Consider the following 14,369-nt stretch of genomic DNA (forward strand, 5'->3'; position numbering starts at 1 on the left):
CCAGGCTGGAGTGCAGTGGCGCGATCTCGGCTCACTGCAAGCTCCGCCTCCCGGGTTCACGCCATTCTCCTGCCTCAGCCTCCCGAGTAGCTGGGACTACAGGCGCCCGCCACTACGCCCGGCTAATTTTTTTGTATTTTTAGCAGAGACGGGGTTTCACCATGTTAGCCAGGATGATCTCAATCTCCTGACCTCGTGATCTGCCTGCCTCGGCCTCCCAAAGTACTGGATTACAGGCGTGAGCCACTGCGCCTGGCCTGTACACTACTGTCAATCTATCAACCATAGTATCTGCTAAGTGGAAGGCTGGTGCTAAAGAATGTGCAATAATTTTTTTTTTTTTTTTTTGAGATGGAGTCTTGCTCTGACACCCAGGCTGGAGTGCAATGGCGTGGTCTCGGCTCACTGCAACCTCCGCCTCCTGGGTTCATTCCATTCTCCTGCCTCAGCCTCCCGAGTAGCTGGGACTACAGGTGCGCGCCACCATGCCCAGCTCACTTTTGTATTTTTAAATAGAGACAGGGTTTCACCATGATGGCCAGGCTGGTCTTGAATTCCTGACCTTGTGATCTGCCCGCCTTGGCCTCCCAAAGTACTGGGATTACAGGCGTGAGCCACCGCACCTGGCCGAAGTATTTTATAACATAGTTTAAAATCCTTAAATTCTACTTAAATGGCTGAAATGATATTAGCTCGTTTACAAAAGTTTCTAGTGTAAGCTGAGGTTCTGCAACTACATGCTCTTTCAGAAGGCAGTCCGTATCAGAATGCAGATGTATCTGATCTCGTGATGATTGCAAAGGAAATAACTAAGCCAATCTAAATTTCACTCTAGAATTAGTTAAAGTTTTGATTAAAAGGAGGAGTTTATTTTGAATTAAATTAGTAAAGAGAGTGAGAAATCTGATAGGAGTTAACATCAACACATACACCACAGGCTTTGGTTGCAAGTAGGCCATGCTAACAATTCTACTGGGATCTGACTACTTTCTCCTGGCAGTATCTTATTCATGAAAGCTATAACAAGATGTCAATAAGACAGCATATTAAAGAAAAGACAAACTCACTATCAGCAGGAACTCTTAGCAGAGGAGGCTTTAGACAGGTTGGCTAATGCCTGTGCTTTGATTTGTAGTGAGCTGGTAATTACAAACAACTGAAAGTGACAAATTGGTTTAAAGGTATCCTCCTCCAACCTTTGACATTCCATGTTTCTGTGGAATGAGTAAGATGAGCATTATGCTTACTCCTAGGCTGAACACTGAGTTTGATGTATAATGAACTGATAGCTGTTATGAACTTCTAAGGAAGATTTAAGTTATATGTGGGGGTTAGTTTTCTTAAAAACATGGTCTTTAATGCTACTTCATGATTAGCAACAATAGCAAAGTTTCTAAGGACTTATACTGGCCACAGTTGTGACAATTTGAGCATCGAAAAGAACATAATGGATTGAAACCCATTAAAACTATAAAAATTCACAAGACCACCATCACACCAGAAAAGGGAAATCTAAAAAAAAAAAAAAACACTAATTTGTCACCATCTAATAAACCAGTTATTTACTTTGAAGTTGATAATTAAATGAAAATAATAAAGCATTCAACCTGCCCTTCTGGTAGAACTGTAGGTAAGGATGACCAAATAGCTCAAGTGGAGAAGGGAAAGCTTAGTTCACATAGAATAACCAACTAACAAACGGAGAAGAAATGAAAGAACTAGACAACCAACTCACAAACTTTAACAAAGTTAATGATTTAGGCAAGAATTACCACCTAATGTTAAAACTCCTGGGTAAATGGTAATTCATTCAATGCCAAAGGAATACCACACAGATAAGTCTGTAGTCACAAAGGGGAAAAATCTAACTGGATGATCAGACTGTCATGCTGATCCAGTAATCAAACTTAGATCAATAGATTAGTTAATGGTAGATCAACTAGATATTACGTTTTCTGAAGTGATGCGATATGAAGCATGTATCTTATCTATGATATAATCTAGCACAAAATGTTTTAACTTGAACCTATAAAGGCTTTAGATATAACTTCCAGATTGCAGGTAGTACAGGCAATATAAAAACAAGTTAAACAACACCATGAAAAAGAAACTAGGCAAATTCACAAGACAGGATTCTACAGGACCGCTGCCCCAGTCTCTTTAACAAGTCAATGTCATAAAAAAGGAACTGTGCTAGATTAAAATAGATGTAAGGGACTTTAAAGGACATGACCAGTTGCAATGTAAGGTCATAGAATGAATATCAGTTTGCACAAACCAACTGCAAATCTGGGGACAATTGGGGAAATTTAAATATGGTCTAAGATCAAAAATGTGCTGGAATGAGAAAGTGGAGATTGTTGATTAAAGAAAAATCGGTTATAAAACACTATAGATGTGGTCTTACTTTGGTTAAAAATGTAAATGTATATGTATGGAAAAAGATCTGGAAGGATATTAACAGTGGTAATCTCTGAGTGGTGGAAATATGTTTTATGTTCTTATTTTTGCTTGTCTACTTTTTTAAAATGTCCTCAATGCATTTATACTGCTTCTATAATAAATAAAAGGTTATTTTAAAACAAGAACTTCTAGAAAATTGCAGTTCCTGTCTTCTGTTAGATAACTGATTATAGACAGTCTGTAGACCAACAAGTACAAAAACAAAGAACCACTACTTATCTGTAGATCAACAAGTACAAAAACAAAGAACCACTATGTAATATCTTATTTGTGGGTAAAATACTTGACTGAAATAAATTTTTCGATGCTTAGCTTACAAAGATAATACTAGAATGTAGCAGAAATGTCTCTCCATAATAAATGCAGGCAACAGGCCAATTTATCTTTGAAGTATTCAATTAAAAAAACACAAGTACAATACATCTTGCTAGGCGTCATTCACCCTCCAAATCAAGCCTGGACTACTAGTATTCACCCTTAGAAAAAAAAATCTAGCGTCTAGTATTTAAAACGTGTAAATTATGAACTTCATGAGAGGCTTATAACCCCATCCTAGGGTGAGGTCCTCATCTATGCCTCAGGAGTGGCAGGAGTGGCATTGGGCTCCAAGTCCTCCTGGGAAGGGGGAGCCGAGGCTTCCTGTTCAGCAAGTGCCTCTCTAAGTTGGCTGCCTAAAACTGCATCATGAATGCTGTGGAACAGCAGCTCCCATAGGGCAGGATTTTCAAAAAATCTATTCCGAGTGAGGTCATTCACAACTTGTGCTATTAAAAGAAGAAAAGAAAATTAGTCCACACTCTGGATATCAGTCTTCAACAATTAAAAAAAAGTAACACTTCCATATAGTGTTTTTTTTTTTGTTATTGTTTTTTGTTTCTTTTTTTTTTTTGAGACAGAGTCTCACTCTGTCACCCAGGCTGGAGAGTAGTGGTGTGATCTCAGCTCACTGCAACCTCCAACTCCTGCGTTCAAGCACATATAGTTTAAATATTAAAATGCTATAGTAAAAGTTTCACTCCAATTCATGTCTCCACCCTTCATAACCTCAATCCCAGGAAACTACTTTCTTGTGTGTTCTTCCAGGATTTCTCTATGTAAATATAAATAAATATAAGTATGTATTCTTATTTCCCACTTTTCTTATCCCCAAAACAGCATATTTTATATATTTGGGGATAAGAAAAGTGGGGAAAAAATATATACACAAACACACACACACACACACATATATACACACATATATAAATATATATATACACACACATATATATACATATATATATAAAATGCTGTTTTGGGGATAAGAAAAGTGGGAAATATATAGATTAATGTTATATATATATATAAACTATATATAGATAATTCTGAACCCTTTTTGCTTAATTTTTTTACCACTACATCGTATTCTATTGTATAGATGTCCCTAGTTTATTTAACTAGTCCCTTTTGTTTGGTACTTGAGTTTTTTGTTTTATAACAATGCTGTGATGATCAACGACATACAAGTGTCATTTTGAACATATGCAGCATATTGCTGGATTTTCTGTGTTGAAAGGTAAATGCACTTATAATTTTGAAAGCTAATGTTAGTCTGCCCTCCATAGGGGCTGTTGCATTTTGTGCTCCCGTCAGTAATGTCTGAGAGAGCCTGTTTTCCCATCATATGCCTATGGAGCATGGTGTCATTTATTTTTGATTTTTGGCAATCTTACAGGTGAAAAGTAGCATCTTTATGAAGATTTCATTTTCAAGCACTTTTTAAAATTATTATTATTTTTTCTTTTAAATAAAGATGGGATCTCACTATGTTGCTTAGGCTGGTCTTGAACTCTTAGGCTCAAGCGATCCTCCTACCTTGGCCTCCCAAAGTGTTGGGATTATAGGTGTGAGCCACCACACCCAGCCTCAGGCACTGTTTTACTTTTTTTTTTTCCTTTTCTTTTTTGAGACGGAGTCTTACTCTGTCACCCAGCCTGGAGAGCAGTGGTGCAATCTCGGCTCACTGCAACCTCCGCCTCCTGGGTTCAAGCGATTCTCCTGCCTCAGCCTTCCGAGTAGCTGGGACTAAAGTCATGCGCCACCAAGCCGGGCTAATTTTTTGTATTTTTAGTAGAGATGGGGTTTCACCGTGTTAGCCAAGATGGTCTCGATCTTCTGACCTCAGGTGATCCGCCTGCCTCAGCCTCCCAAAGTGCTGGGATTACAGGTGTGAGCCACCACGCCGGGCTCCTTTTCTAAAAAATCATTTTCTTTCTTTTTTTTTTGGAAACAAGGTCTCATTCTGTTGCCCAGGCTGGAGTGTAGTGGCGTGATGTTGGCTCACTGCAACTTCTGCCTCCCAGATTCAAGACATCCTCCCACCTCAGCCTCCCGAGTAGCTGGGATTACAGGCATGCGCCACCATGTCTGGCTAATTTTTGTATTTTTAGTAGAGATGGGGTTTTGCCATGTTGCCCAGGCTGGTCTTGAACTCCTAGGCTCAGGCAATCCATCTGCCTTGGCCTCCCGAAGTGCTGGGATTACAGGTGTGAGTCACAACACCCGGCCTCAAGCACTGTTTTAACCAAAATGTAATATAAAACAAAAATAGCAGGCAAAGTATTCCCAAATGATTGGATAGAGAAACAAGCAACCTGAATGATTATATGTAACTGTTTATGGCAGCCATTAGATAATTGCTACTGTGGTCATGTATATATTATAATTACTATATTTATAGCAGCCATTAATATTATAATAAATGATGGCTTATTGGCTCCTTTCCTCCAACTCCAGTTCAGGAGGGTTGTCACAAGTAACTTGTAATATGAATGCCTCCATGTGGCTAATTTCAAAGCTGGCTTTAGAGTGATTTTTCAGAAGAACAATTTTCATTTTTATAAAATAATTAAAATTAAGGACATTTCCAAGTGCAATTATTTAAATAAGAGAAACAAAACTAAAATATTAAGCTTCACCCCATCTTAGAGGTATACTCACCACTGCATCCTGCTAAGTATACATATATACCGACGTCTCCATATTCTTTTACAATCTGTAATAATGTTGAAATAAAATTTAGTTTCTCTTTACTCTGTGCCAGATGAAAGTCTCTTTTTACCAATGTTTTTCGTGATAGAAGACACTCTAATTCATTCACTTGAGCTACTTTGCTTCAATAATGATGTATTTTTGAGCTAATCAGTTAAAAATAATTTTGTATCTCTTTTGCTTTTTATGTGGACAGTGATAATTAGGGGTAGCAAAAATACTGTTAAATCTTACTTAAGTACAATAAAACTATTATATTAACTTAAAGGATATTATAATTTCAAAATAAAAAACGATTTTTTTTAGAGACAGCATCTCACTAGTTTACTCATGCTGGTCTTGAACTCCTGAGCTCAGCAATCCTCCTGCTTCAGCCTCCTGAGTAGCCTAGCATATTACAGTAATGTTTTCTAAAACGAATCTTCTTGTAGCAATACACATTAAAATATTTACAGATGATGTTATGACTGGGATGTGTTTCAAAATAAAACAAGAGAAAGTGAATGTCAGCTATAAAGGAAACCAGATTGACCATAAATTGATCATTGTTGAAGCTGAGTGATAGTTCACGGGGGTTCAATATACTAAAATCTTTACTTCTATATATTTTTGAAATTTTCCATAATCAAAAGGGGATAAATCTTTTGTTGAAAAGAGAGCCTAGCCCACCTCCCTGATTATGCTGATAGTACGACACCAGGCATAGAGGTATTAAATGACTCGTTCAAGAGGATGCTTACCCCTGCCAGAGTTTTCACTCCAACAGAATCAATAAAATTGACTTGAGTGAAATCCAAAATGACAGTGTGGACGTTATCCCCTGGGGGCATAAATCTTTGCATTTCCTCAGGAAATGTGCTTTTGATCACTATTGGGGGATATTTTACTTCACCATCCTCTTCTTCAGGCTTGGTAGCATCCTCTCCATCTACTTCTGCATCCTGTGTCAAAAATTAAACCAAACCAGAATTTTATGAACAACTCACATTTCTGGTTGTGAGAAAGATTTATAATGGAAAATCTGCTCTTGTGTTCTTAAGCTACTGACTCTACCAGACCCCTTGTAAAATATTTGTCATATTCTAGCCTTGTAACTGAACAAAAAAAGGATGTATGTATAACATTCCATTTTAAGTCAACTTCTCTCTTTTTCCTTCTCCTCCTTTTTTTTCTTGTCCAACAAAATCCACTCTCCTCAGTTATCCTATCCATTTTCTGCTAAAGTCTAAAATAGTTCCATTAACTTTAGTATGATGGGTCACACATTAGCATGCCTGAACAGCAAAAGCCACCTTTGAGCTTTTTAAACTATCAGCTGAATAAATCTATGACAAAGTGCTAATGGTAAAATCTGTTAAGGTATTGTGTAATTTTTATTTTTTAAAATGATGTTTTCCTTACTTTTTTCAGAAACAGCCTCATAACTGACCTTATCAGGTGCTTGTAAAATATAGAGGATACTAAGGTGGTTTCTAAACTTTCCTCTTTTAGTAACTTCGTGCTGTGTTTAAACTTCAGTCATGAGTAAAGATGGAGGGCATTGCAGAACAAGACAGAACGGATTATTTCAATGAAAAGACCACTCACTGCTTTGACAACAGTTGCGTTGGCCATATTTGCATTTCCGACTTCCTTAGCGTACTTCCGCATGGCCTTTCTCCTTGCTCCCATGATGACTGCTGGGTTCACTCCAGTCTTTACAGAAGAGCACCATATGCAAAATCACTTCATGGCTCTCAGGGACCCACCCCAATGCCACTCCCCTTCAAATCTCCCCATTTAACTGCTTTCTGGGTCAGATTATCACCCCAACCCTTGCACTGCCTTTCCCTCAGAGGCCCTGAACTGGTTACTCCCTTACATTAGTAGCCTTTCTTATTCTCAGTCTTTATTCAAGACAACCAGAAGCTAAAATATTAAAGACAATTTTTAGAGCAGTCTTTTTCAAGTTCAGATCTGTCAGGTTGTTATATTTAAGAGACTCTGTGGGTTGACAGGGAGCTTTTCCTATATACAGCGTGGTGTAGGGTTGAGTTCTAAACATGACCAAAGGAATCTACATGATCCCAAGAATAAGAAACCTAAAATTATTTTCTCATGTTTTCTTAAAATTTTGTTTGAAAAGTAATATTATATATACGATAAGAGAGAATGAACAATGGTGATGGCTGCACAATGTTTATGTACTTAATGCGACCCACTGGACTGTATACTTTGAAAATGCTTAAAATAGTATATTTTATGTTATGTATATTTTACTACAATAAAAGAGAGAGAAACAAAGCGAGAATGAAATAGTATATACAAAGGTATACTAGTGATCCTCATATCCCTGTCAACCCACAAATCCCATCCTCAGAAATAATCAATTTCTCATGACTCACCTTTCGTTTTAATGCATTGCTATACAAGTCGCTATTTGCATAGTAAATTGGTGCATTTATTTGAAATATTTTTATTCCAGGAATTTCTTTCACCTGAAGAGTAAAATATTGCTGAATTTAACACATGGAAATATTTCAGAATCAAAACTGCATAGCTTCCCCACCCCAAATAGAAAATGAATGCAGAAGTTGCTAAGGTCCCCTTTTCAGGGCTTAGCTAAAATGATGTCACACACAGACCAAAAAAAAAAAAAAAGATAAGAAAAGAAAAAAAAAGTCACTCTTATCTACTCATGCTCTGAATGGAAGAGAACTGACAGAGACCTTTTTAACATGCACATCTTTCCATTTGTTTTAAAAGTCAGTCTTCGTTTTATTTTTACCATTAAACACAAAGAAGAAACTGAAAAATACTCAAAAACAGAAAAGAAAATGGACAGGAGATGGAAGGCTGCTGCCCAGACTGTGAGAGGCAGGCAAATAAAGTGAACAGAAGTTTACACTGGTTTGATTCACAGAAGCAGGAAGGAGCTTAAATGGACACAAGTGAAACTGAGTGAATATTTTATCAAGAACCCTTGTGGAACTCTAGGAGGCAGGCTGGAAACAAGCAATGTTGCATATACTTCTTTGGATCGAGGAAAAATATAGCAATTCTAACACCTTTACCTTAGAGTGAATTTTGTTTCCTCATATCCTAATACCTTAAAGTGAGTCTGAGAATTTCTTCCCAAGCATAAGACAAGACCGACAGACAAAACTAGTTTTAAAAGATTTTGTAAAAATCTTCGATATTCCACAGAAGAAAAGAACACTCAAAATCAAGGAAATCTGAAGCTGTAATTTTAACCATTCAAATGAAGTGGGAGAATTCCACAGCCCCACCATCTACATTTTACATGGTTAAAATTATTTTACCATTATACATTCATCAGAAAAAAACCATGCACACACAAACCATCCTTTCAGTTTCAATACTGTATAAATGTATACTTTAATTTCAACAATATATATTTATCCCCATTAAAAATGAGGAAAAATAAATATTGGAAATTGAGTAGTTAATGCATAGTATAAATTATAAAATTGAATCCATATAGTAGATCAAAGCTCAGACTTTTCACTTTGACCACTATACCTCCCATCTTACCCCTACTTTTTATCCTGGGTAAAAACAGTACTTAGCCAAGCACATCACATGCTTACAACCTTTTTAAGTGATAGAAAAAGGTCCTACCTCCTCATATGCGTCTATATCAATATACACATCAGTTTCAGGAAGCTTTCCAAGGACTTTGTAGCTTGGACTGAAGATAAAGAGTGTTAAATACCATTGTGTTGAGGCACAGCGTGTGATTTCAACAGGAGGTTGTGTATGTTTATGTCAGGTTGGGGTTTGCTGGTGCATTTGGGAATGCTTGATCCTTACATGGTGCCTTTGCAGAAGGGCTCCACACATATCACGTTCCCAGTGCCATTCCAAGCCTAATACACCCCACACACCTCATGCCACATACACATCACATGCCACACACACACATACATACCACACATGATACGCACACACCATGTACACCTCATACTACACATACACATCCCAATACCTACCTCACACACCACACACATACACAATATACATACCTACACACAATGCATACACACCACACATACAGAATACACACACATTATACGATATACCACACATATACATACACACATGCATACATACCACATGTATAATGCACAATACATACCCCCACACACATGCATACACACACAATGCACACACACCATACATACATACCTCATATCACACACAATATACACACACTACACTACATACCACACATATACACATCATACACACTGCATATATACTATGCAATGCACACCCCTCACATGCATACACACCATGCACATACATACCACACATATGCAATACACACATACCATATACACCTCATACCACACATATACACACTCCCACACACATACGCAATACACACACATACAATGTATACACACCCACATACCACACACACATACACAATACACACATCTACACATAATGCATGTACACCACACACACATATAAACACAATATACACACACATCACCCCACATATCACATACATACACACAATGCATACACACTACACACAAACACAAACAATACACACACACCACACATACACAATATACACAATCACACCACATACCATGCATACACACCCACACATGCATACACAGCACACACACTACATGCCACACACAATACCATACACAATACACACATACCATATACCTCACACCACACACACCCCTACATACATATACACACACACATGCATACACACCACACATGCAATATACAATACACACACCACACATGCGTACATACCACATATATGCACACACTACACACATAATACACATACGTGCAGACACATGCATACATACCCCCACTACATGCCACACACAATACCATACACAATACACACACCACATACCCCTCATACCACACACACACACACACCCATATACATATACACATGCATATACAACCTTCATCCAAGACACAATACACACAACACACACATGCATATACACCACACACACAACACACACATAATACACATACATACACATCACACACATATACATACATCACATACACCTCACACTTCACATCACACACACACACACACATCACGTATACCTCACACCACATTCACGATGCACATCACACACCCTATACCTCCCCTCCCCCCAACACCATACCACAAACACGATCTGGTCAGGAGAAAAGGTTCAGGCATTTAGAGGTGGAGGCAACGCTGAATTTCGCAGAGTTCAAGTTATGCCAGGGATATATGTAACACAAGTTCTCCTCAAGCCACTCAGTAGACAGAACTGTCTTTCTGCTCTAACTCTAAAGTAGGAGAGGGAATTTTTGTTTGTTGTTAGCAAGAATCACTGACTCATAGTAGGGGAGTAGTCAATTGAGGGCGTGGGGAGAAAATGAAAATCTCAAATTAGCATAGATGTTAACTTAATTTAGTCTGAATAGATTTTAAACATTATTTTTTGAGAGCCCTATTTCCTTTTTTTTTTTTTTTTTTTTTGAGGCGGAGTCTTATCCTGTTGCCCAGGCTGGAGTGCAATGGTGCAATCTTGGCTCATTGCAACCTCCGCCTCCCGGGTTCAAGCAATTCTCCTGCCTCAGCCTCCCAAGCAGCTGGGATTACAGTTGTGCGCCACCATGCCCAGCTAATTTTTGTATTTTTAATAGAGACAGGGTTTCACCATGTTGGCCAGGCTGGTCTCAAACTCCTGACCTCAAGTCATCTACCCACCTCGGCCTCCCAAAGTGCCAGGATTACAGACAGGCATGAGCCACTGTGCCTGCCCCTAATTCCTAACTCTTTGTAAAGGACCATCTGGCTCAAATTAGATACTGTAATAATGACAGATACTACTTCTTGAACACCTGTTATTATATCCTTTGAACAATGCTGCTGGGCACATTAATAATATTATAATAATAGTTAACATTATTAACAATCCTGCCATCACGTAGATGAGAAATTGAGGCTCAGTGGGGTTAGGTAAGTTGTTCAATGTCAGACAGCTTGCCAGAGGCAGAATATGGCTCAAGGTCTTTGATTTGACATTCCACAGTTTTGCTACTATGTCCTGGTGCTTCTTAGCATGAATGTCAAAGGACTTTGTAAATTAGAATATACTACACAAGTGTTAGCTGTTTTGCTGGGTAAATTTCCTCCATAAGCATTCAGAGAACACAAATGATGTGCCTGGTACTAGACTCCAGGAACATCACTTCTGCCAACAAGATGCTCACAATCTAGTGATATCTGTGGACAAATATGGCTCTGAGGACTGATTGTAGATAAGGGGCTAAGGCTCTCAGCTGAGTTTGCAATTATGAGAAAACCTCTAAGAGACTCAAAGTGCTGTCCATGTGTTGCAATCCAGTGCCACAGGGGAGGCAGAGTAAGGGATGGGCACATGGATCACAAGTACAGGAGTAGCTGAGATGGACACACGCAAGGTGCTAGGGAAGGATTAGAGCATTGTTGTGGGTACACAGGGGAAGTTGAGGTCCCTGACTGGGTGAGCTGGGCCTCAAAGGATGAGGATTTCAAATGCAGATGATGAACAGGCCTTCCTGACGACCTGCAGTGCCCTGGCACACCATTTCTGCAAGTCTAAATACTATTGCTCCCAGTGAAGGCCAAGTCCTTACTACTTCCCTAATGACACCAAGAGCAAGAAAGTCTCTTTTAATGAAATCCCATGCAGTTTTATTTGGCATCTCTTATGCTTCTCACACTGTACCTTGCTTACACCTGTTGAGGCACTTATAACTGTGTATTCTAAGTCTTTAAAAATTTATTTTTGTTTTATTATTTACTTATTTATTTTTTTAGAGATGGGATCTTATTCTGTGGCCCACGCTGGAGTGCAGTGGCCTGATCATGGCTCACTGTAGCCTTGAACTCCTAGGCTCTAGTGATCCTTGTGCCTCAGCTTCCTGAGTAGCTGGGACTATAGGGGTGCACCACTACACCTTGCCAACTAAAAAATTTTGTAGGTCTCACAATGCAATGTCTCACAACTGTAATCCCAGCACTTTGGGAGGCTGAGGTGGGAGGAACACTTGAGCCCAGGAGTTCAAGACCAGCCAGAGCATGATGGCGAGACCCCATCTCTACAAAAAATTTAAAAATTAGCCAGGTGTGATGGTGTGTGCCCATCATGGGAGGCTGAGGTGGGAGGATCCTTTGAGCCCAGGAATTCAAGGTGGCAGTGAGCTGTGACCGTACAAGTGCACTGCAGCCCATGTGGCAAAGTAAAACTCTGTCTCTAAAAACAATAAAATAAAAAAAATTTTTTTTTTGGTAGAGGCATGGTCTTATTATGTTGTCCAGGCTGGTCTCAAACTCCTCGCCTCAGCAATCCTCCTGCCTTGGCCTCCTAAATTGCTGGGATTATGGGCATGAGATGAGACACTGTGTTTGGCCTATATTCTAATTTTTTGAAGATGGATTATAAAATGCTGATTGAGGCTGGGCGCGGTGGCTCATGCCTCTAATCCCAGCACTTTGGGAGGCTGAGGCAGGTGGATCACGAGGTGAGGAGTTCAAGACCAGCCTGGCCAAGATGGTGAAACCCCATCTCTACAAAAAATACAAAAAATTAGCTGGGTGTGGTGGCGGGCACCTGTAATCCCAGCTACTCAAGAGGATGAGGCAGAGGCAGAGAACTGCTTGAACCCAGGAGGTGGAGGTTGCAGTGAGCTGAGATCATGCCACTGCACTCCAGCCTGGGCGACAGAGCATGACTCTGTCTTAAAAAAAAAAGTGCTGATTTGTCAGCTTCTGGATTTGCAAAAACTCACATCTGAGTCATTGCCTCACCACTTACTGTGATCTTGTGCAAGTTACCCAATCATTCTAGGCTTCAGCTTCCACATCTGTGAAATGGGGTTGCTGATTGTCATAGGTTTATAAGGTTATATGAAATGGCATAGAGCATTGATCTTTGCACAGAGCCAGGCACATAAGTAATTATAATAATTTGTGCCATCATTACTTCATTGTCCTTATTAACATCATCATCATGATTACGTGTCTGTCATCCTTAGGACAACGCAACCTTTGAGGGGAAGGACCATGTCTTATATACTGCACTGTCCCTAGAGTCTAGCATCTCCCTGGAAATATAATAGGCCCTCAACAAATACCTATTTAGAGAAATTATAATTTTTAAAATTTTATAATGCTAACCAAATTGTGAGCTTTGGGGGGCAGAAGCTGAACCTCTGTCATATTTATAACACATGCAAGTGCCTGAATTCAGGAATTATCTGCAGAATGATGTGATTGTCTCTTTGTTGTTGTTGTTGTTGTTGTTGAGACAGAGTCTCGCTCTGTCGCCTGGGCTGGAGTGCAGTGGCGTGATCTCGGCTCACTACAAGCTCCGCCTCCCCGGGTTCACACCATTCTCCTGCCTCAGCCTCCCCAGTAGCTGGAACTACAGGCGCCCGCCACCACGCCTGGCTAATTTTTTGATCGAGCCAGGATGGTCTCGATCTCCTGACCTCGTGATCCACCTGCTTTGGCCTCCCAAAGTGCTGGGTTTACAGCTGGCCGGGCCATGATTGTCTCTTAACTATGCCTGCTCTGAGGGAAAATGAGTGTTTCAAACAAACGGCCAAACCCAGTGCACCTCTACCCCTCTCCAGAAGTGTGCCCTAATTACAGAAGAAGCCAGCTGAAAATAAACACATACCCTGAGTGCTGATCTCCTAAACTCTAACATACAAAGACCCAGCAAAATCACCAACAAAGGATAGAACATAAAAAATATCAACTTCAGTTAACTATTATTTGAGGAAGAAAGAGAAGTAGAGCTTTTATTTTTTTCTTTTCTTTTCTTTTTTTTTTTTTTTTGAGACAGGGTCTCACT

At 39.4% G+C, this 14,369-nt stretch overlaps 1 protein-coding gene across 13 annotated transcripts in view, besides 1 other annotated feature; it reads right to left on the minus strand.

The window, feature by feature from the left end:
* SLC26A5 (solute carrier family 26 member 5) overlaps nt 1–14,369 on the minus strand; it is a 93,478-nt gene that overhangs the window by 18,636 nt on the left and 60,473 nt on the right. For 4 of the 13 annotated variants that reach the window (NR_135801.2, NM_001167962.2, NM_198999.3 and 1 more), the window contains 6 exons: nt 9,115–9,184; nt 7,878–7,970; nt 7,081–7,188; nt 6,234–6,434; nt 5,443–5,497; nt 2,842–3,227 (listed from right to left, as the gene is read on the minus strand). The exons of 2 other annotated variants lie outside the window; for them this stretch is intronic. Coding sequence is in view for 6 of the 11 variants with exons in the window: in NM_001167962.2 (NP_001161434.1) it covers nt 3,034–3,227; nt 5,443–5,497; nt 6,234–6,434; nt 7,081–7,188; nt 7,878–7,970; nt 9,115–9,184 (721 nt within the window). In the remaining 5 variants the exon portion in view is untranslated. Of the gene's footprint in view, nt 1–2,841; nt 3,228–5,442; nt 5,498–6,233; nt 6,435–7,080; nt 7,189–7,877; nt 7,971–9,114; nt 9,185–14,369 lie in introns of those variants that run through there. 7 more of the 13 variants (NM_001321787.2, NM_206883.3, NR_120442.1 and 4 more) reach the window with 5 other exon arrangements.
* Nucleotides 9,235–9,522: a silencer, noted in NCBI's record as "fragment chr7:103021047-103021334 (GRCh37/hg19 assembly coordinates)". NCBI's record gives its function as "represses an EF-1alpha promoter that drives an FKBP-Casp9 reporter gene in an ReSE screen in phorbol 12-myristate 13-acetate-treated (for megakaryocytic differentiation) K562 erythroleukemia cells {active_cell/tissue: K562(+PMA)}" and the evidence as "EXISTENCE:reporter gene assay evidence [ECO:0000049][PMID:32094911]".

Source organism: Homo sapiens, chromosome 7, assembly GCF_000001405.40.
Source record: "Homo sapiens chromosome 7, GRCh38.p14 Primary Assembly".
Taxonomy (NCBI): Eukaryota; Metazoa; Chordata; class Mammalia; order Primates; family Hominidae; genus Homo; species Homo sapiens.